The sequence below is a fragment of the Homo sapiens genome, chromosome 11 (genome assembly GCF_000001405.40).
Source record: "Homo sapiens chromosome 11, GRCh38.p14 Primary Assembly".
In the NCBI taxonomy this organism is placed as follows: domain Eukaryota; kingdom Metazoa; phylum Chordata; class Mammalia; order Primates; family Hominidae; genus Homo; species Homo sapiens.
Window position 1 is genome coordinate 86,179,975 of NC_000011.10, and position 24,029 is coordinate 86,204,003.

General features: G+C 41.4%; 1 long non-coding RNA gene and 1 pseudogene across 1 annotated transcript, besides 3 other annotated features; one reads left to right on the plus strand and one right to left on the minus strand.

The window, feature by feature from the left end:
- Positions 3,809-4,083: a transcriptional cis regulatory region, noted in NCBI's record as "candidate enhancer chr11.4687 targeted for multiplex CRISPR interference". NCBI's record gives its function as "positively regulates PICALM gene expression in K562 cells {active_cell/tissue: K562}" and the evidence as "EXISTENCE:mutant phenotype evidence [ECO:0000015][PMID:30612741]".
- On the minus strand, positions 11,494-13,524 carry LINC02695 (long intergenic non-protein coding RNA 2695). Its single transcript, XR_001748524.2, has 2 exons — positions 13,459-13,524; positions 11,494-12,940 (listed from the first exon to the last, which is right to left on the minus strand). It is a non-coding gene; the product is annotated as a long intergenic non-protein coding RNA 2695 (long non-coding RNA).
- Positions 15,157-16,797, plus strand: FNTAP1 (farnesyltransferase, CAAX box, alpha pseudogene 1; annotated as a pseudogene).
- Positions 22,236-22,736: an enhancer, noted in NCBI's record as "H3K4me1 hESC enhancer chr11:85913252-85913752 (GRCh37/hg19 assembly coordinates)". NCBI's record gives its function as "activates a minimal SCP1, AML or CMV promoter by ChIP-STARR-seq in naive H9 embryonic stem cells {active_cell/tissue: H9 hESC(naive)}" and the evidence as "EXISTENCE:reporter gene assay evidence [ECO:0000049][PMID:30033119]".
- Positions 22,737-23,237: an enhancer, noted in NCBI's record as "H3K4me1 hESC enhancer chr11:85913753-85914253 (GRCh37/hg19 assembly coordinates)". NCBI's record gives its function as "activates a minimal SCP1, AML or CMV promoter by ChIP-STARR-seq in naive H9 embryonic stem cells {active_cell/tissue: H9 hESC(naive)}" and the evidence as "EXISTENCE:reporter gene assay evidence [ECO:0000049][PMID:30033119]".

Here is a 24,029-nt window from a genome sequence, read left to right on the forward strand (position 1 = left end):
TTGCTAGAGGAGCCGCTGCACATAAAGGTCTTCATAATACTGGACCTCGCAAAACCATAGATCTACATCAGAGGAGAGAGAAGGAAGCCTGGCAAAGACGGAAAACTCATCAGGTAGACAGAAAGGTTATGACTGGGAAAGACTATTTTGGCAAACAGAGATTCCCTAGCCCTAATCCCTTTCCTTCTGTTTTTGTTTGTTTGTTTGTTTGTTTGTTTTTTTTGAGACAGAGTCTCGCTCCGTCGCCCAGGCTGGAGTGCAGTGGCATGATCTCAGCTCACTGCAACCTCCGCCTCCTGGGTTCAAAGGATTCTCATGCCTCAGCCTCCCGGGTAGCTGGGATTACAGACCCAACACCACGCCTGGCTAATTTTTGTATTTTTAGTAGAGACGGGGTTTCACCACGTTGGGCAGGCTGGTCTCAAACTCCTGGCCTCAGGTGATCCGCCTGCCTCGACCTCTCAAAATGTTGGGATTACAGGCGTGAGCCACCGCACCAGGCCCTTCTGTTTTGTTTCATAAATTAAGCAAAAGACCAGATAGGGGAGACACTGCCTTGTTTTTCCTTCAAATATACTTGGTGGACTGGAGTTCCAACAACCAGACCTTTGGGGCTGAGATAAGTTTTTCTTTCTAAGTCCTCAGTGTGGGGAACTACGACATCTGGCTTCCTGTTAGGAAGTTAAAGCTTGTGGCTATAGGAGAAGGTCTGACTCTTGGTGAAGCTGCAAAAGTCTTAGAGCTCTAAATATCGGGCTTTGGACATGGAGATTCTTTTATACGTTCAACAAGTATCCTTTGTGCCAGGCTTGATTGTACATGCTGGCAACATAACCATGAACAAAAGTCACAAAAATCCCTGCTTTCCTGGAGTTTTCATGCTACCAGGGGAGACAGACAAGAGACAATATGAATACGTGAAATACAACATATAATATGCTAATTACAAGTGGTAAAGAGAAAAATAAAGCAGGGAAGGGGACTAGCAAATGCTGGGGAACAGATGTTGTGATTTCAGATAAGGTGGCTAAGGAAGGCCTTGCCAAGTAAGTAACATTTGAGTAAAGACCGGAAGCACAAGAGAAGGTGAACAGTGTAGACAACTGAAGAAAAAGCATTCTAAGCAGAGAAATAACTGTAAAGGCCATTGTTGTGGGTTGAATTATTTCCCGTCGCCAAAACATATGTTGAAGTCCTAAGCCCTGGTACCTGTGAAATGTGACCTTATTTGAAGACAGGGTCTTTGCAGATCAAGTGAAGATGTGGTCATTAGGGTGGGACCTAATCCAATATGAATGGTGTTTTTATGAGAGGACACAGAGACAGAGAGACACAGGGAATATGCTGTGTGATGACAAAAGAGAGATTTAAGGGATGCAACTGCAAGCCAAGGAATGCCGAGAGTTGACAGCCATGGCCAGAATCTCAGAAGAGGCAGGCAAGAGTTCTCTCCTACAGGTTTTAGTGGGAGCATGGCCCTGGTTAACACTTTTCACCTCCGGAACTGTGAGACAGTAAATTTCTGTTGTTTTGAGCCACTCAGTTTTTGGTACTTTGCAATGGCAGCCCTAGAAAACTAATCCAGCCATGAAACGGGTATGTGCCTGGCATGTTGAAGGAAGATGGAGGCCAATGTCACATGGGAGGAAGTCATAGGAGATTGGATCAGAGAAGTTACACAACAGATGGCGAGATCATGTGGCACCTTATGGTTGGAGATGTGACATGATCTGACTTACCCTTTAACGGGCTCACATATAGTTATAACTGTGTGTTGCATTCATGGCTGAAGGGAGATGTATAGAAGAACCCAGACAATATTACATACACTAGATAATCATAAGAGGTATAGAGATAGGTGCCAAATTGTGTAAATACTAAAATCACCGTGCTTATAATTAAATCTTTCATTTGCTCTTTAGGTGTATTTTAATCTGTAATGTTAATGCATAACTAATTTTTAAAAGATGAAATTAAAATTTTTATTTTCAAAAACAGACTCTTAGGTGGCAAAGCATGAATTTGCTGACCTCAGGTGAACACATTAGTGACTATCTGGGTTGCTCTAACCATAATCATGGCATACCCCTCACCTGGTGTCATAGACAAGGAGACCCATTGGCTAGATTCCCCTTCTAGGAAGGACTTGCTATTCTGTCAGGGGAAATATGGTCAGCAGACAGCCTTCAGCTCCTTCAGGGTTTGTCTCTGTTGCAGAGAACAGGCTATCTTGTATATGGTTCAAAGACAGAGAAAAAACTGAGTTAGCTTAAGAGACAGGAAATGTATTTATGAAGGATTAAGTATATCTCACAGAACCCAACCTCATGAAGGACTGGAAATGGAAGAAGATGGTCTCCCTGTTTCTGTATCTCTCATCATCATCATCATCACCGTGTTCTGTCTATACTTCTTATGGTAGATCAACTCTCACAGCTCATCAGATGACATGACCCAAAACGGAAGTCCCAAAATGTCACCCTCTGTTGCCCTTATTGTCTGCCACCATATAGGTCCAGTGCCTGTAGCCAACTGATCCTATCTCTCTAGATTCTCAGGAGAGATGGTCTGACTTGGCTCTCTCTTTGGTCAGATGTCCACTCCTAGCCAGTCAGCTATAGCTGGAGACTGGGTCATTTTGAATGGAAAACTGCCCTTCTTCCAAGGCTGTGGATGGAGTTTATTTTCTAAGAAGAGATGTGATGTTGGGAAGAATATGCAGTGCATCTCTAGCACAAAAATCCTCACAGCTATGATATTGTAGGAAAAATGTTCAACTTTGAAGCCATGGGATCAGTTTTGAGTTCTTGTTCTGCCATGTATTAATTGTATGAACTCTAATGGGGTCAATTAAACTTTTAAGCCTCTGTTTCCTCAACTGAAAAATTTCACATTTTTTGAGATGGGCACTAGGCTATGCACCAGCAATATAGAAATAAAAGATACAGTCCCTGCTAGACAGATGTTCACAGTCTAGCAAAGCAGGCAGGTAGGAAAGCCCAATAACTACAGTTCTAGGTCCATATGCAGTGATGGAGAGAGCACGCCTGGGTGAGGTGCCCTCCTTGAATGCCCCAGTGTGTGGGTGTGTGGGCATGCACGGTGTGGATAGAAGAGAAGAGGAAGGGAAGAGAATGGGGGAAAGCTTCCTAGAGGAGGTCAACCTGGGGCGGGAACTTGATAGGCAGGAGATAAATGTGGGGAGGAGGAAGTATACCCAGGCAAGGAGAGCACCATGTGCTGAGTCACAAATACGTGAAGGAATGTGGTCATCTCAGACACATGTAAACGGGAGGGCAGGGCTGAAGTAAAGAACTGCATCTGGCATGGAGCCAGGCAGGTGTGGTGGGGTGGTAAGAGATGAAACTCCTCTGATTGAGAAGGAAGACATGTGGGCAAGCGCTCTGAAAACAAACAGTGCTACAGACACAACAGTGGTGAACAGGGAGTGTTGATTATGTGAAACCAGGAGCTAGGCTACTTGGTGTCATGAACGTGTCTCTCTATGAGGCAGGAAATATAATCTTCATTTTACAGGGCCTTATTGAGTCATAGTCCCAAGGTCTCATGGTGTCTTGGTTTGGGTTCTCTCAGAAGTGGACGTTGAGAAAAGGATTCAAGCAAAGGTAGTTTATTTGGTGGACGATCCTAGGAAACCCCAGTCAGAAAGTGGGGAAGCGAGGTGCAGAAGAGAAGGAGCCGATAAAGTGTGTGCTATCAAAGACGTTACCACTGAGGGTACCTGGAGCTCAATCCCACTGGGAAATGTGGGAAGACAGAGAGGAATATGCCTCTGAAGTATTTCCCCCAAGAGGCAAGGAAGCTGGGGTGTTTCTCTCCAAATCTCCATCTGTCACTGTTTGAGGACTATTTCTCAGATATTAACTCTGGAAATCCCAGCTTCCCTTGCACAGGGCCCCAGCGTGCTCTTCAGGCAGTGAGTCACAAGGGTTCTCAGTAAGCAGACTTCAGGGTGCACAGGGGAGGGCTGAGAGGTTATGGGCAGAACATTGACAGCATGTGCTATGCACAAACAGTGAGGAGGGGAGCAAGGGCTTGGTCCCAAGCAGCCTGGCTTAGGTTTAACAACAGTATTATACTCTTTCCCAAATGTAGAGTATTATTAATATACATATTTATACTGATACTTACAGTACTTTTCAGAAACCATAGTATTGAGCCTAGAATAGAGGGAGTCTGTTGTCCTCATCAATGATTGACACATAATGGATACTTAATGAATATTTTTGGATGAATGTTTTAAAAGTCAAAACATAACTAATTCAGTGTTATTTACCTATAAAGAGCCTTTGGCTGGGAATCAGAAGATTTGGATTGTAGTTTGAGTTCTGCCATCAGTTTGGGGACCTCAGGGAAGCCATCTAGACTAATTGAGCTTCACTTTTCTCATTTTAAAACCTCATTTTATTACCCACCCCACTTGCCTACTGTTAGAGTTGTGAGGATGAAATGTAATAATGAATGTGAAAAGTTAAAAGTATGGCAAACTAAGGAGTAATTCTGTATCTCTGCCTTGATTTTGAATCAGGAAGAAGTGGGCCTTTGGTTTCCCAGGACCCAGGACCATGTACTGTGAGGCCACCAAGTCCATCAGTCAGGGCTCTTTGTTGTAACAGGTGCTAACTCTGACTATCTTAGTCAAAAAAGAGTTTATTAAAGAGATAGCAGGATGATCACAGAATTGATAAGCAGTCTAGAGAATCAAGCTAGGAAAATGGACAGGAACTGAAAAAGAACCATGGGGAAGACCACACCTCAGAAACATCCTGGTGAAAATGCTGCTTCCTCTCCCACTGAGCAGTGGACACCAGTGCTGCCACCAGCACAAATTCTAAACCGTCCGAGTTTCTTGGGTCATTTGCTTCAAACTTAGAGTCTCAGGCAGTAATATCAGGGGGGCCAAGATTAGGTCATATGCTTGTGCGCCAGCTGCCAGGGACCCAGGAGGCCAACCGTCTGGCCTGTTTTCCAGCTTCCATCAGGGGAAGACACATTCTACCTCCCAGCATGTCTCATGCAATGGCAGTTTCCCCAGACACAGGAAGGGGGCTCAGACGCTGGGCAGCCAAGAAGAATGTAAGTTCCATCCAAGTCAGAATGTAGGGAAAGTGAGGATACTGGTTCAAAATTGAAAAACCAAGATAAAGAGAAGGTCATGTTTTATTGAGTAGCAACATTGACTTGAGGCTTTATTAACCAGGAACTGTTCAAGGTGCTGGGTACAAAGAGGACTTTGACACTGGTACTGGCCTCAAGGTGCTCTAGCCAGTTAGGAAATGTATATTAAAATAAAATATGATAAGAAAGGGCTATAACTGAGATGTAACAAAATTCAACAGGAGCACAAAATAAAGGATTAATGCTGGGGATCATGTGGGTGGTCAGGAAAGTTTTCACAGAGATGGGTCTTGAAGGACGGAAAGAGAGAGAAATGAAAGAGCATTAGAAGCAGAGCCACCTCTGGTATCTGTTACTCTTTCTAACCAGCCAGAATCTGGGTCCGGTATTTCCTGCTCAGTCCTTTCCTACTGCCACCAAGCACAACACATATGCTACTACAATTAAGGTCTAAAATTAGTATGATTAAGGTCTAAGCAATATGAGGGTATTGTTCAAGCCAGGATTTTCTTCCTTGGCTCTCCCCAAACTCTCTAGTGCAGAGTGATGTTGGCAAAAGTTATTGCTGCTTTTGTTGTTTTTAGCTATTTTAGATGAAAGCATATACTCAGACCTGAGTTTGTTTGTTGGCTTGTTTTTTAGATATGGTGGTCTTACTCTGTCATCCAGGCTGGAGTACAGTGGTGCAATCATAGCTCACTGTAACCTTAAACTCCTGGGCTCAAGCAGTACTCCCACCTCAGCTTCCAGAGAAGCTAAGACTATAGGCACATGCCACCATACCCTGCTACTTTTTTATTTTTTATTTTTTGTAGACATAGTCTTGCTATGCTTCTCAGGCTCATCTCAAACTCCTAGGCTCAAGCGATCCTCCCATTTTAACCTTCCAATGTTGGAATTACAGGCATGAGCCACCACGGCCAGCTAGACCTGAGTTTAAATAATGGCTCAGCCACTGACTAAAATCTCTCTGAGCCTTGATTTCCTCAAAGATAAAATGGGAATAAAAAATACTTGCCTTCCAAGTATTCCAAGGACTTTTGAAGATTAACTTAGATAATGTTTGCAAAGTGCCAACGATTGGCAGTTGGCAGGTGCTGTTATTGCTGTTGGTTTGAAACAGTTCTTTGAAAATCTGGTGATGAAGAAGAGACCTTACTCTTCTTCCCCTTTGACCTCAGGGGTTTCATACAAAGAGTGAGGAGATTACAAGAAGGAAATGTCTTCCAAGAGAGAAAGAACCCAGAGGTTCTGCCAAAAATGTGAGACTATATGGGGGAAGCAGATATGAGCTACTTTCAAAGCCTGACTCCGTGGTGGGACTGAGAGCCTGGCTCCTGAGTCGAGAGAGGCTTTCCAATCCCACAAGAATGATTTCAAAAACAGCCCTCTTGGCATTACTGACATTTGCCTCTGCCCTTTTCAAGGAGGAAACAATTTACCCAGATGCAGGCCCGCTTAGGCTCCATTCTCTAGCAAGATCAAGCCAAGAACTTGGAAGGGTGGAGGACAGCACATTCATGAAGCCATTTTCACATACTGTTCCTGCACAGCCTTTGAAAATGTGTGCCTTGTAACAGGTTGAATAACACTGGTAAAATCGCATTGTGTCCATTCTGAATAACAAGTATGATATTTGAGAGGAATTAGCTATGGGCTGAAGAAATTTAATAAACAGGGAAGATACAGATGTGAAAATGCTGTGTGGCTTGGAACAGACACCAAATTATGTGGAGTATGAACTTAAATCTCCTTTCTGAAATTCCTGGCCTATAATTTAATAGTCTCTTCTTCCTAATAAACAATAGTGTTCTATTCCAACCTTGGACTTCTAGGTAAATTCTGACCATTCATTCATTAAACAGCTATATGTTGAATACTTACTACATGCCAGGCATTGCAATGGGTGTACAGGATCTTGATTCTGATTCTGGAGAAAGGAGAAGAGATTGTTTTGTAAACATTTAGGGCTTCTCCTTTCAAATGTTATTTGTGGGAAAGCATGAATGCCTCCCCTGTCTGTATATGGAGAAGATAATTTCATGTAGAATGGCGTAGTTCTGGTGTTTACTAGGCTCATCATCCCATCTGGGGGTAGGCCCAGGATTGGGAAGGATAGAGCAGCCATGCATGTTGCTATGGTAACTTGGCATTAACACACCTTAGCTCCTTTGTGTCACCCCCAAATTTCCTTTAAAACTAGTGTACATTTTCAGAATGTGGAAAGCTTTTCTTAATTTTCACGTGGCCAGTTATAAAGGCATTTTTCAAAGCACTCAGGCAAAAGGATGGTCCTTTTTTTTTGAGGCTGAGGCTATGCTGATGCTATTTTCTAAAAGCATAATCAGGATCTAGACTATCTTATTCTTTCATAGGAGATTGCACTTTCAAATCCCTTTCACATATGTTATTGTGCTTTTATTGCCACCTTGTTTTAACCTCCTGCTTAAGCTACTCTGAAGGGCAGGAAAATGAACCCACTAAATTTTTATGCCTCAAAATAACCATGTGAGGTAGGAACTAATACCTGTATTTTATAAATGAAAGAACTAAGGCTCAAACAAGGTCACATGGTTAGAAAATAACAGGATGAGGAGGAATGGAACCAGGCCTTTAGATTGCAGATCTGGTGTCTTTCTGTTATACCTTCACTGACTCCCAGTATCTTCCAGCCTTTGTTACTTTATAAAAATATAGATGCATACAAAGCAGTGACTAGTTTGTGCTTTTCTTTCCTTTCTTTTTTTTTTTTTTTTTTTGGTTGAGATGGAGTTTTGCTCTTGTTGCTCAGGCTGGAATGCAATGGCACGATCTTGGCTCACTGCAACCTCCACCTCCCGGGTTCAAGCAATACTCCTGCCTCAGCCTCCCGAGTAGCTGGGATTACAGGCATGCACCACCACACCCGGCTAATTTTTTTTGTATTTTTAGTAGAGACGGGGTTTCTCCGTGTTAGTCAGGCTGGTCTCTAACTCCTGACCTCAGGTAATCCACCCACCTTGGCCTCCCAAAGTGCTGGGATTACAGGCGTGAGCCACCGCACCCAAGTGTGTTTTTCTTTTCTTTTTCTTTTTTTTTTTAAAATAGCTTGGCTGGGCGTGGTGGCTCACACCTGTAATCCCAGCACTTTGGGAGGCCAAGGCGGGTGGATCACGAGGTCAGGAGATCGAGACCATCCTGGCTAACACAGTGAAACCCCGTCTCTACTAAAAATACAAAAAATTAGCCAGGCATGGTGGTGGGCGCCTGTAGTCCCAGCTACTCAGGAGGCTGAGGCAGGAGAACGGCATGAACCTGGGAGGCGGAGCTGGCAGTGAGCCGAGATTGCGCCACTGCACTCCAGCCCAAGCAACAGAGTGAGACTCCGTCTCAGAAAAAAAAAAAAAAAGCTTTATTGAAGTTTTTGTATGTATGTTATATATTTCTTCATAAAATTTACCCACTGTAAACATACCATTTAATGATTTTAAAAAATTTTTGTAATAGCTTTATTGGGATATAATTCACATACTATACAATCCACCCACTTAAAGTGTACATCCAGTGGTTTTTGGTATATTCACAGAGTTGTATAACCATGACCACATCAATTTGAGGACATTTTTAGCATCTCAAAAAGAAACCCTGTACCTTTTACTATCACATCTGAATCCTCCCTCATAGAAATGGTTTTATATAACATGTGGTCTTTTGTGACTGCCTTCTTTCACTTAGCATAATGTTCTCAAGATTCATCCATGCTGAAGCATGTACCTACTTTATCCTTTTTATGGCCAAATAATACTCCATTGTGTAAGTATAGCACCTTTTGCTTATCATTTTATCAGCCAATGGACATCTGAGTTGTTTCTACCTTTTGACTATTATGAGTAGTGCTGTTATGAATATTTGTGTACAAGTTTTTGTGTGGACATATGTTTTCATTTCTCTTGGGCATATACTTAGGAGTGACATTGTCAAACGATAACTCTATTTTTAACTTTTTGAGGAACTTCCAGGTTGTGTTTTCGAAAGTGGCTGTACCATTTTATATTCCCACCAACAATATATTGAGGGTTCCCACTTTCCTATGCCCTCACTGACGCTTAGTGTGCTTTGCTTTTTTCACTCAACATTATTTCATAGATATGTTTCCATGTTCACTTGGTTATCATTTTTAATGGTTACACAGCGTTCCAAATCAGTTAGTTGGATATTATTTAAAAATTACTTTAAAGCTCAGGACTTGGATTGTTTTCATTTTGTGCCATTATAAATAGTGGTACTAGAATCTTCACTGCTTACTACATTTTTCCTTTAGCTTATGTCCTTGAGGTATGTTCCAAAGTGGAACAAAGGGCACATACAGCTCATGTACTGCTTCCCTGGTTAGTCTGCAGAAGAGTTGACTGTACCTAAAATGCTATCAGCAAAGTTTGCACTTGCCTTCCTCTCCACAGCCTCTGCCAACATAAGGCTTTGTTGCTTTATTTGTGTATATTAATGATATAGTTACTGTATTAGTCTGTTCTCACACTGCTAATAAAGACATACTTGAGACTGGATAATTTATAAAGAAAAGAGGTTTAATTGACTCACAGTTCCACATGGCTGGGGAGGCCTCATAATCATGGCAGAAGGCAAAGGAGAAGCAAAGTCATGTCTTACATGGTAGCAGGTAAGAGAGTTTGTGTAGGGGAACGCCCATTTATAAAACCATCAGATCTCATGAAACTTACTCTCTCCCATGAGAACAGTATGGGGGAAACCATCCCCATGATTCAGTTATCTCCATCTGGCCCGGCCCTTGACACATGGGGATTATTACAATTCAAGATGAGATTTGGGTGGTGACTGAGCCAAACCATATCAGGTATAGGTACATGATAGAATCTTATTTTTTATTTTTATTTTGAGACAGAATCTCACTCTGTTGCCCAGGCTCAAGTGCAGTGGCACGATCTTGGCTCACTGCAACCACTTCCTCCTGGGTTCAAGTGATTATCCTGCCTCAACCTCCCCAGTAGCTGGGAATTACAGGCATGCACAACCACATCCAGCTAATTTTTGTATTTTTTAGTAGAAATGAGGTTTCAGCATGTTGGCCAGGTTGGTCTCAAACTCCTGGTCTCAGGTGATCTGCCTGCCTCGGCCTCCCAAAGTGCTGGGATTACATGTGTGAGCCACCACACCTGGCCTGAATCTTAACAATCTTAGGCTGTTTCGATTTGTATTTCTTTCATTGTTGGTGAACTCACAATATTTTAACAGCCATCAGCTGTTACTCTAAGCCATCCATCCAAAAAAGCCAAGCAGTGCAGGAGAATCTAGGGCCATAGCAAAAGGCAGAAGATGGAGCTTAAAGAAATTCCCTGGGTTTGGGCAGGGCGTAGTGGCTCACGCCTGTAGTCCCAATACTTTGGGAAGCCAAGGAGGGGAGATCACCCGAGGTCAGGATGATCTCAGGTCAGGTTCGAGATGGTGAAACCTCATCTCTACTAAAAATACAAAAATTAGCCTGGGCGTGGTGTCAGGCACCTATAATCTCAGCTACTTAGGAGGCTGAGGCACAAGAATAGCTTGAACCCAGGAGGCGAAGGCTGCAGTGAGCTAAGATCGCACCACTGCACTCCAGCCTGGGCGACAGAGTGAGACTCTGTCTTTAAAAAAAAAAAAATTCCCTGGGTCTGGGAGCAGGCTCAGGAGGTATGTTTGATAGCGTGACTGCAGCCTCAGCTGTAGATGAAGAGGACACTGGTAATGATGCTGAACTGATTTAGACATCATATCCTTTTCCACGTTCTCCTTTCATTTGGCACTTCTCCTGGTTCTGCTTCTCCCTCCCTGGCCATTCCTTCTAAGCCTCCTTTCAGCATTTCTTTCCTTCTACCTGCTTCTTATACATCGGTATTAAATATAGGATTTCATTATTGGATCCTTCTTTTTTAACTTAATACTCTGGGCAATCTCATTCACCCCCATGGCGGTAATGACAATTTAAATGCTGAAAATTCCCAAATATGTATTGCCAGCCTAGACTACGCTCTTGAATTCCAGAAGCACATATCTAGTTTCCAACTGTATATCTCCATTTGAATGTCCTCTAGGCACCTTGAGTCCAGTATCTTCCCCTCCGATCACTCCTTTTTTTCCCCATATGCCCTACCTGTATGACTGTAGCAACATCAACCCAGTCACTGAAGCCAGAAATGTGGAAGGCACTCCAAACTCTTTCTTCTGCACCTACATATTCCTAAATGTGCACCTTCTTCTCCCTAAACCTATTACACGAATTTGATTAATGTTTCAACCATTTCTCCCAATAACTCTAGCATTGTTACATGTATTAGGGTTCTATTGGTTGCAACTCGTTGCTTCAGAAGGGAATGGAAGAAGATTTATTGGATGTATACTTGTGTGGAATGAAAGGAGAAACTGAGAAATCATTGTGGAGAGGCAGGCTTCAGAGTGGCTCCGGGGACCTCAGCAGCAAGCAGGTTGCTCTGGGCCTTCTCTGGAGAGTCTCCTACGAATAGACTTGGTTCCAACAATGCTTAGCCTCTGCATCTCTTGGATCAAAGTTCCAAATTTCTAGGGAAATCTGGGGACCAACAAAGATTAAGAAGTTTAGGAAGTTTGAGTCATGTGATGGGGACACAGCTCTGGAGGATGACTTCTATGTATTAGAGGCAAATATCAAAGAAAAAAGAGACGGCATGAGATGGACAGTCTTTCCAGAAATTGTCTATGACATTGCCACAGTTTCTGAACTGGTCTTCTTGCCTCTGGTCTTACATTTCACCAACCCACATTGTGCATTCTCTTCCAAAATACAAGTCTGAGAGAAAAAAAAAAAGAAAACTATAGGCGTGAAATCCTTCTTCATCTCTTACTAAGTCTTGGACTTTGAGCAACAGCAACTACCATCTGAGTCCCTCTGATCTGCTAGCACTGTGTCAGTACTTTACATATGTTATATTCATGACCACTCTGCAGGGCAGATATTGTAATTACTGTGCAAAAGAAGAAAGTGAGGCTTGGAAGGAATTAGTAAGCTTGTCCTAGGGGCCCTGACTGGCAAGTAGCAGAATTTACCTGATTCAAGGCATTTATTAATGGATTATACTCCTTCTCTGAGATTTGCAGTCTCTTGGTTTATAAAGTGAGTATAACTTTTTTGTTTTTCAGGATTAATGTTAGAATTAGGCAATACTGGCTACATAATTTGTGAGGCCCAGTGCAAAATGAAAATGCAGGATGGCCCCTTGTAAAGTAATTATTAAAAATTTCAAGAGAGCAACAGCAGGGCATTAAACTCAGTATGGGGCTCTGTTTTTGGGAGGCACCAAACACCCAAACCATATCAGGATGTGAAACCATCTTTGGGGGACCATTATTCAGCCTACACAATAACAATATTCTTATTCTTATTATTTTGTTGTCCTTATTTCATGCTTCAGTGGTTTCAGAATAAAGTTCAAACTCTTTTCCAGGACATGGCTAGCCCATTGTGATCTGACCCATGCCTATCATTCTAATTTCAATTCTTTCTATCCCCCCACATGCATTGAACACTCCAGTAACATTGAACAACTTGTGATTTTTCCACTGCAATCTGCTGTCACTTGCTGACCAGCCTCTTTCATACTGTTATTTCTGCACAGAATATTCTCCCCCATTTCCCCTTTTCACCATTCTTCTTCTCTTTCAGTTCTGTCTGATTTTATTGTTGTTGTTTTTAATACTTAGCCCAGGTTTTCTCCTTGGAAAACTTCTCTCCACCACTTATGATCTTGGAAAAGTTTCTTCTCTATTTTCACATCTAAAGAATGAAAATCACAGAATAACACCTGCATTATTATGAGGCTCAAATGACATAATCCACATAAAGCACTTGGCAGACTGCCTGCCAGGTGGTAAGTGCCCACAAAAAAATTATCTGTAATTATCGTAAATATTCTTTGACCTTCCCCCATGGTGATATAAGAGCTTTCTCCTCTGTCCTCTACTAGCAACCAGAGCATAGAAGGTGGCAGGCTTTCCTGTAATTTACTGCTCATGTGTAAGTCTGTTCTGCTGTACTGACCATTCTTTGAGATCAAGAGCTCAATTGTTCATTTCCATATCTTTAGTGCCTAGCACAGGGTTTGGACATATGGCAAGTTAATACTTATTGAAGCAAAATAGGGAAATAATTATTAAGAGGACACATGCTAATTCTGTTCTCAGAATATTTTTTAAAACATTCATTCCATTCTTATGTTCCTGCAGTACAAGTCTAAAAATATTTCATTTGTCTACCTTCTATTTAAATAAAAGTGCAGCATTAACAAAACCTACCCTGTTGAGCCAAATTTCCTTTTGTCTTGCTTTGCTCTAGTCACTTCCTCTTTTTTTTCTTTCTACTTCCTCCTGGTAAAGGTCATTTCTTTCTGTGTCATAATCTCACCTTTTTTTTTAAAAAAATAATGTCAATGTTTTTCCCAAAATATGCATTCCCAGAAAGCTGCGTAGTCGTTACCCGTAACAAGGAAAACCCCACCCTTCCTGTCCCCCGCTGTGCTGCAGCCCTTGAAGTCTCCAGGGTATCTGTAACCTTAGCATGGAGTCAGTATGAGCTCCCTCTCCTGGCAGGTTATAGTCATGCTAAAGCTAGACACGGCTAGAGTATCCCAGTCACACATCCAGAAATGATTATAAAGCATGAGATAACCCAGGCCTTTCTGTTCCCTGAGCTCAGATTTAAGGCAGGTGTGGGGCTATCTAATTTGTTTGTAAAATCATTCGCTTGACAGGCATCACAGAGATCTGAATCCCATCCTACTGCTTGGAGGAAAGAAGCTGCACCGTTTATGAAAAGAATAAGAATTTGGATTTGTGCCCTGTTCTACCACTTATCTAGCTGGCTGCTCTTTTGTCAAATTACTAATACCTGCAAGCCTCTGGATCTTCAACTTTAGGGTAACATTAGACCTATTTCACCTACCTTATAGGGTAGATGTAAATTTTAAAAACAATATAAAAACGGTGCTACTTATTGGGTAATAGCTATGCTTCAGGCACTGATAGGTGCATTATCCCTATTTTGTATATGAGAAAACCACAGTTCAAGCAGTTGTCACATAGTAACTCTGTTAACACATGGAGAGCCAGGATTCATACCCAGGTCTTTCTGACTCAAAAGCCTTTCTTGATGTTTTCCCTTTAATTATACCAGACTAATGTTCCTGAATCATGCATCTGAAAACATTTGGGGGAAAACAAAAGTAAAATTCTATACTACGAAGGTAAATTTTTATTTTATAGATGTTGAAATTGAGGCCCAGAGAAGCGCAGTAACTTTCCCTAGGAGTTGGTGGCAAATACAACTCAGTAGTTTATTAAGGACTCAATAGTATTTACCCAATAGGGCTAGCAAGTGTGCAGGCTACTCGGGTGTTAAAATGTAGCTGCACCCAGGTGAAAGGGCAATCCAATAAAGGTTTCAGGTACTTTACACTTTTTTTCACATGCTTTCCACTTCATGGTTGCACTGGACAGCTTAGGTGATACAATCTCAATGATACTGTCCAGATCACGAGGGTTTCCTGAGTCCTTGTTGTGAAACACAGGAGGCCCTCTGTGTGACTTGGTCCCAGCATCAATTTCCAGCTTCATCTCTCATTAGGTCTCCTGGGTCATCATCTAGCTCCAAACCTCCTCCTCAGTCATAATGAACTGCTTGCAGCTCCTGGAATGCATCACATGGATTTGTGCCTCAGAACCTCCATTCCTTTACCTAGAATATATTTCACCCGCTGAGCATCTACTTATTTTCCAAGACTCTGTTTAAATGTCACTTTTTGGATACAGTCTTATTTGATCTCCTACCACCCCTCCCCACTTGAGATAGAATTAACCATTCTCTCCTTTGGGCCTCTAATATCTCCTCTTCATATTTTTAATTGGGACATATAATGTTTTTATTGCACCAATATGCAATAAAACTGGTTTGTTTGCACTTCTGTTTGTTAACACCTTAAGAATAAGGACCATCTTGAGATGGCGGCCACCGAGGGGGTCGGGGAGGCTGCGCAAGGCGGTGAGCCCCGGCAGCTGGAGCAGCCCCCGCCCCAGCCGCACCCACCGCTGCCCCAGGAGCAGCACGAGGAAGAGATGGCAGCAGAGGCTGGGGAAGCCGTGGCGTCCCCCATGGACGACGGGTTTCTGAGCCTGGATTCGCCCTCCTATGTCCCGTACAGGGACAGAACAGAATGGGCTGATACAGATCCAGTGCCGCAGAATGATGGCCCCAATCCCGTGGTCCAGATCATTTATAGTGACAAATTTAGAGATGTTTGATTACTTCCGAGCTGTCCTGCAGCATGAAGAAAGAAGCGAACGAGGTTTTAAGCTAACCCGGGATGCTGTTGAGTTAAATGCAGCCAATTATACAGTGTGACATTTCCGGAGAGTTCTCTTAAAGTCACTTCAGAAGGATCTACATGAGGAAATGAACTACATCACTGAAATAATTGAGGGGCAGCCCAAAAACTATCTAGTTTGTCACAATAGGCGAGTAATAGTGGAATGGCTAAGAGATCCATCTCAGGAGCCTGAATTTATTGATAATATTCTTAATCAGGATGCAAAGAATTATCATGCCTGGCAGCATCGACAATGGGTTATTCAGGAATTTAAACTTTGGGATAATGAGCTGCAGTATGTGGACCAACTTCTCAAAGAGGATGTGAGAAATAACTCTGTCTGGAACCGAAGATATTTTGTTATTTCCAACACCACTGGCTACAATGATTGTGCTGTATTGGAGAGAGAAGTCCAATACACTCTGGAAATGATTCAACTAGTACCACATAATAGTTCATGGAACTATTTGAAAGGAATTTTGCAGGATCGTGGTCTTTCCAAATATCCTAATCTGTTAAATCAATTACTTGATTTACAACCAAGTCATAGTTCCCCCTACCTAATTGCCTTTCTTGTGGGTATCTATGAAGACATGCTAGAAAACCAGTGTGTCAATAAGGAAGACATTCTTAATAATGCATTAGGGTTATGTGAAATCCTAGCTAAAGAAAAGGACATGATAAGAAAGGAATATTGGAGATAAATTGGAAGATCCTTTCAAAGCAAACACAGCACAGAAAATGACTCACCAACAAATGTACAGCAATAACACCACCCAGAAGAACTTGATGGAATGCTTTGATATTTTATTAAGGGACTCTGCAGGAGTTTAAAATGAGGGTGATCCTTCCCTTTGCCTGTGGCGTAAAAATGCATCACACAGGTATTGCTTTTTAACAAGAACTGACGCTCCTTGGGTGCTGCTGCTACTCAGACTAGCTCTAAGCCATGTGATTGTTCTAAAGCAAAGTCATTGCATGGGAAGAGGAAGAAAAAGTCCCATAAACGAACTTTTGTAGTCTTATCAACATGTAATCAAATCCCTTAGCATCAGCTCCTCCCTCAGCGGTACACGCGTCAAGATTTGTAGCAGTAATAACTGCAGGTCACTTGTATGTAATGGATATGAGGTAGCTGAAGTTTGGTTCAGTAAGCAGGGAATACAGTGGTTCCATCAGAGCCAGTCTGCACACTCACATTATCTTGCTATCACTGTAACTAACTAATGCCAAAAGAACAGTTTTGTAATAAAATTATAGCTGTATCTAAAAACAAAAAACAAACAAACAAACAAAAACAATAAGGACTATCTTGTTTGTCATTGCATCTTTAGTCTTCAGTATTCTGAGCACTTAGGGGCAGAGCATGATGACCGGCTAACCCAACAACTACACCCAACTAATCTTTTGCCTGCTTCCACTATAAAAGCCAGAAAAAAAAGAATCATTTTTCCCAACCTCCCTTGCAACCATTAGACACTACACACACAAAAAAGCTCTGCCCAATAACATCTGAGCAAAGATCTTAGGGAGAAGCAGACTGCTTCTAAGAGCACTTATGCAATTCTGATAAAAGGGTCAGAGTGACTGATACAAACCGTCTCCCTTTCCTTCTGTCTTGAATACAAACATGATGCTTGAGTTGGAGTAGTGCCATCTTGCAACCATGAAGGAAAAGCCCAAAAGGCCACTGAGCCACCCAACAAATGCAGCTGCTGCATTTATGTTACATGAGAAAATTGTACCATCGCCGATTCAATCTGCTGTGTTTGTGTCATCTGTTACTTGCACCTGAGAACATTCCTAAGTAACTTATAAATTAATAATTTTTGTCACTTAAAAACAGGTAATTTTTTTATTTCAAATATTTTCAAATGTTTAGTCCCAGAAACTTCTCCTCAAGAGGAATTTTAAACTAAGCCGAATAAATAATGTTGATCAAAGGAGAGGTGTTCTCACTGAAGAGGAAAGGAGATTGCTGTGTGGACTACCAGCCTTTTTCTTACTCCCTTGTTTTCCCCAGTAGCTCCTGAAGCACATATTTAAAACTTCTATGGCTTCTCTGAATACTGAACTACTCTCTAACACTTGATGGGAGTGTAAACTTGAACAGCCTTTTTTGTGCACAGTTTGGCAGTTTGAGGACAATTCCTATCATGTTGTTAAATTATGTAATCTTTGACTCAGCAATTCCATTTCTAAGAATCCAGCCACAGATATACTGGCATTGTTGTACAGAGATATGTATATATATACAGAAGGTGGTTCATTACAGAATTGCCTAAAGGTTAAAAAAAGAAAGAAAAATTTTAAAAAACAACATAGATGTCCAATAAGGAACTCATTAGTTACTTTATAGCACATTCATCCTCTGGCATATTCTGCACCCATTACTGACATTGAAAGGTCTCCAGGATATAGTAAAGTAATATACCTTTAACATATATTTAAAAAGTAACTCATAAAATACTATTAAAAGAAAAATCAAATGAGTACATAAAAATATACATATGTAGGTATGTTAATGCATAGAAACATGTCTTGAATGAAGACAATGTTAACAGTGATTACTTTTGGGTAGTGGGATTGAGAGAGAGAGAGAGAACTTCAACTTTTTACTTTGTAAACCAGTATATTGTTTCAAAAATTGGCATGTATTTATTTTTCTTAGGTAAAAAATAGAGAATAGTACCTTGCCAAAGAAGATAAACTGATGATAAATAAGCACATAAAAAGATGCTCAACATTATATGTCATCAGGGTATTGCAAATTTAAAAAACAGTGAGCTACTACCACCTATTAGAATGGCAAAAATCCAAGACACTGATAGTACCAAATGCTGGTGAGGATATGCAGAAACAAGAAAGCTCATTCATTGCTGGTGGAAATGCAAAATGGCAAAGCCACCTTGGAAGATAGCTTGGCAGTTTCTCACAAAACCAAACATGTTTTTACTATATGATCCAGCAATTATGCTTCATGGTATTTAATCAAATAAGTTGAAAACTCATGTCTACACAAAAACCTGCACACAAATGTTTATAGCAGCGTTATTCATAATTGACAAAACTAGGAAGTAACCAAGGTGTTCTTCAGTAGGTGAACTGGTAAATAAACCATGGTACATTCAGAGGATGGAATGTTTTTTAGCACTAAAAAGAAATGAGCTATCAAGCATGAAAAGAGTGGCATTCTCTCTATTCTCCATGAAAAGACATAAAGGAAACTTAAATCCATATAATTATACTAAGTGAAAGAAGACAACTGGAAATGGCTCCATACTTTATGATTCCAGCTATATGACATTCTGGAAAAGACAAAACTACAGAGACAGTAAAAAAGATCACTGGTTGCCAGGGGTTAGCAGGAATGGAGGGATGAATAGGCAGAACACAGAGAATCTTTAGAACAGTGAAACTACTTTGTATGATATAGTGGTGGATACTTGTCATTATACATTTGTCATAACCCATCCATATACATATAGCACCAAGAGTGAAGCCTAATATAAACTATGGACTTCGGGTGGTAACAATGTGTCAATGTAGGTTCATTCATTGTAATAAATGTACCACTCTGAGGCAGAATGTTGATTGTGGGAGAGACCATGTGTGTGTTGGGGCAGAGGATACATAGGAACTCTCTGGACTTTCCACTTAATTTTGCTGTGAACCTAAAACTGCTCTAAAAAATAGTTTGTTTAAAAAATAGAAACAACAATTCAAGACTTAGCCCAACATATTTTATTTTATTAATTTTTTTTTAAGGCAGACAGGGTCTTTCTCTGTTACCTAGGCTAGAGTGCAGTGGTGGGATCATAGCTTACTGTAACCTTGAACTCCTGGGCTCAAGCAATCCTTCTGCCTCAGCCTCCCAAATATCTGGGACTACAGGTGCATGCCACCATGCCCAGCTAGTTTTTTATTTTAGTTTTATTTTTTGTGGAGACAGGCTTTTGCTATGTTGCCCAGGCTGATCTTGAACTCCTGGCCTCAAGTGATCCCCCTGCCTCAGCTTTCCAAAGCACTGGGATTACAGATGTGAGTCACCATGCCTGGCCTAGCCCAACATGTTTATTCAACAGGATGGACTAGGTCCTGTGAGGGTACAGTGAAAATTAAGACATAGTCCCTTTTCTCAAGGTGCTTGAATATAATACAGCGAAGTTTTAAAACTATACCATACTATAAAGCAGATTTTTTAAAAAGTGCTGTAAGAAAAACACAAGTAACTGATTATGAGAGTCTAGAGAAAGGAATGAGTTCCTCTGTTCTGATTAGGGGGGATATGAGAATACTTCACTGCAGCAGAAGCATGTGAGTTGGATCTCAAAACATAAATACATTCTTGTCAGTCAGATAGAGTGGGAAGGGAACAGGAAGAGCACTCTAGGCAGAGGGAACAGCACAAGGAGGCCTGAAAGTGTATATTATATGTGAGGAATTGTGGCTGCCTGGATGGCTATCATGTAAGATAAGTAAAGGGATACCTTGGGAAATAAAACTGGACACGAAAAGTGGGGTAAAAGCATGCAATATCCTTTATACTCCATGCTAAGCTGTTTATATTAACAAAATATAGGGAGTTAGCACAGGTAGGCCAAGTCAATCACTGGTAGATTAGATCTGTTGTCCTGCAGCCAGGACAGGAGTTAAGAGGCATAGGCCTCTGTCCAGGGGCCTGGGCCAGGGTTCAAGAGGGATAGGTTCTGATGAGCCCACACTCTGAAGCCTGCAATGGGAGCACCAAATACTTGAACTCCTGGGCTAAAGCAATCCTTCTGCCTCAGGAGGATTATGGGGTTGCGCCAACAGCCAATTAAGGGCATCTTAGCACCTTTTGGATCTGAGCAGCTCTGGCCTCCCTGCTCAGCCCCTCTGGCTGGCAAGACCTTCTATAATTAGAAATCATGCTTTCTTATGCTTGGTGTCCCCTTTTAGGGTCATCTTCTCTAGCTAGACAGAGGAGCCTTGTGGGGATATTGGTAAGGATCCATTTTCTTCTTCCTATACCCGCTGTTCTAGGAGTTGGGTAGGAACATGTCCCTATTGACCTACCTCTCTTGAACCACCTATAATTCAACCAAGGAGTTTGTACTCTGGAACCTTCCTCATTTCTCTTGATTCTGGTTTTCTAAGCTCCTGACATTAAATTACTCTCTTATTTTTTCTCCTTGGTTTGATTTGTGTTCCTGGCTCTGATTCCCAATTATTCCAAAACATATTAGTTTAATGGTTTGGCCCTACATTAAACCTTACTGTGAACGACAGCCTTAAATGCCCCCTCAATAAGGGCTTTTTATCTAATATAGACCCTGCATCACATCATTGCACCTAAGCTGCCTATGATCTAATCAAGGATACATGATTTTTAAACACTAAACAAAATATAAGGTTGAATAGGATTAAACTGTAAAACATCTTGCAGTTAACAAAGAAAAGGCAGTAAAATGCAGTGGGAAAGAAAATGCATTCGAGACATCTGGATTCTAGTTTTATTTGTCACTAACTGGTTGCAGGACTAACCAAGTCTCTCAACCTCAACTATAAAATTGAAGGATTGTTCTATATGACTTCTCAGAGAACTTTAAACTCTGTGACTAGTGCTATGTGGGTAGAGAAAGGGAGGGATCTCTTTGGGTGGGATTTGTTGAGTAAGTCTTCTGGGAAAAGAGGAAAAGGGATATAAGGTGAGCTTTAAAGATGTGTGGGATTTTTTACTGGGAAGATGAAAGTGAGAGCACTTGCAGAGTTGGAGGTAAAAATGTTGGTAAAATAAGGAAGGAGGAATGAGCAGAATGGCTCACGGCACAGCAAACACCTAACACGCCAGCCTGAGCACAGCAGCTGGTAAGCAGTGGGAGAGGCCTGGAGGGGCAGGCTATGGTGAATGCTGTTGGACACAGGCTGAGGGGTCACAGAGGATCTTTGTGGAGAGAAGATTAGTCTGGAAAGAGTGGGCAGGATGGAGGGGTGGGAGAATATATTGGAGAGGAGGAGAGGAGTTTATGACCATGGTCCAGTTATGAGTTAAATACATTTGGACTAGGGTAGCTGAGATGTGAGTAGAGAAAGTGGTAAATCTGAGAGGCATTTTGAAGCAGAGATTGAATAAAGAGGAATAAGGAGGAAGTGATCTAAGTTAACTAGCAAAGCTTGAGGGGAGATTTTGTTAACAGGAAGGGGAAAGGAATTTTTTTGGGGGAGGTTTGGTCTTCTAGGGAGTTTCATTGTTTCATTCTTAGACATGAACATGTGTGAACAGTTGTACTGGGAGTCTTTTAAAATATGTACATTTTTGTAGGCAGTTAGAAATGTGAATATTATTGTCAAAACAGATAGATGAGTTTCTAAGTGTTCACACTGAGGCAGTAGTTGAAACTGTAAAAGCAGATGCTGTGTATGAAGAAGAATATTACAAAGAGAAAGACATACAATAATTAGAAGAAAGAAATTATTACACATTTTATAATGCTTAACTATTTAGCTTTACATTTTATTTCTAACTTAAATCCAACTCTTATAGTACTCCTTTGACCTGTCCTACAAATTTATCTCTCTCAATCTTTTTTTTTGCATAAATATTAGCAATCTTTTCCTTTTCTTTGTGGGTAACTGTATTAGTAAAGACAGGTTAGCTTATACTAACACTCCAAATCTCAGTGGCTGCAAGGTATTTCTCATACACTCTACATATCTGTCACTTCCCCTCACATTTTATTGGCCAATGCAAGCCACACAGCCATATAAATCCTCAAAGGAGGTGGCAGTTTGATCCCCCAGTGTACATTAATGGGAAGAGTGGGACTATTTGTGAAAAGTTCTAATGATAACCATAGTAACACACTTTTTTCCTTAGACCGTTATCTACAACCATGCCTCCTCCACCTTTTTATTTGTACCGTCACTAAAACGTTTTCAGTATGAACGTTTTATAAGCAGCAGTATGGTGGCATAATTCTGTGGCATAATTCCAAGTTGTTTCTGCTTCTTTGCTCTTTTCTCCTTATTTTGATGCTGTCTTCCTTTGGTTCCATGACAGGCTCTCTTCTTTTCTTCCTTTCCCTATTCTTAGAACTGAAGAGACTCAAGGAAATGCTACAACGGAATCAAAACAATTTTATTTTATTTTTTGAGACGGAGTCTCCCTCTGTCGCCCAGGCTGGAGTGCAGTGGCGCGATCTCCGCTCACCGCAAGCTCCGCCTCCCGGGTTCACACCATTCTCCTGCCTCAGCCTCCGCAGGCGCCCGCCACCACGCCCTGCTAATTTTTTGTATTTTTTTTAGTAGAGACGGGGTTTCACCGTGTTAGCCAGGATGGTCTCCATCTCCTGACCTCGTGATCCGCCCGCCTTGGCCGGCCTTCCAAAGTGCTGGGATTACAGGCGTGAGCCACTGCGCCCGGCCTCAAAGCAATTTTTACCCCATCTCTCCTCCCTGTGGTTGGTTCCACTTCTCTTCCTTCTTTAGCAAGAGTCATTTCTTCCCCTTTGAGTCCTGCTGCACTTCCTTCTTTTTCTCACTTCCATGTCACTCAGAGGTTAAGGCAGTTGTAGAGCAAAACAACCAGCTGACAAGCAATAGATGTTATGCAATTCACCATTTATTCTGTGCAACATTAATTAGCTGGTTGTCCTGATTTTCACAGCCTGTGCCCACCCCATACATTGTTGACTTCATTACTTCTAATAAGAATTAATCTTTTTTTCCATTTGAATCCCACAGAATGTGGTTTGAGTCTCTAATCTGATTATTACAGTCTGCCCTTCCTCAGGGTTATTTTTGTATATGCTCCCTCACTAAATCACAACATCCTTATAAACAGTGATGTGCACATAATAGATACTCAATAATTGTTAACTCACTGATGAGTCCTAAATTTGACTAACTTGCCATTGGTTTTGGTAACATTTGGGTAAATCTTGATTCAGCAATTGGCACTCAGACTTTTGCTCATATCTAGAAAAAAAGGAACATATATAAATAGAAAAAAATATTATCTGTTGAAGACCTTTCTATTTTTCACCCTCCATATTAAGATTGTAGTACTATTGTTTGTTTACAATTCATACCACACCTGCTTTCTAAGAGGCTTTAAGTAGACGTATTAGGCAATATATTCACTTATTCATTAATTCATTCATTCACTGATTTACTCAATAGTCACTTAATGAGTCCCTATCATAGGCTAGGGATAGGATAGAAAGTCTAATAAAAGGTTGGGCATGGTGGCTCATGCCTGCAGTACCAGCACTTTGGGAGGCTAAGGCTGGCAGATGGCCTGAGTTCAGGAATGCTAGACCAGACTGGGCAACATGGCGAAACCCTGTCTCTACTGAAAATACAAAGTGTGGTGGCACCCACCTTTAATCCCAGCTACTTGGGAGGCTGAGGCATAAGAATCACTTGAACCCGGGAGGCAGAGATTGCAGTGAGCCAAGCTGGCACCACTGCACTCCAGCCTGGGTGACAGAGTGACACTCTGTTTAAAAAAAAAAAAAAAGT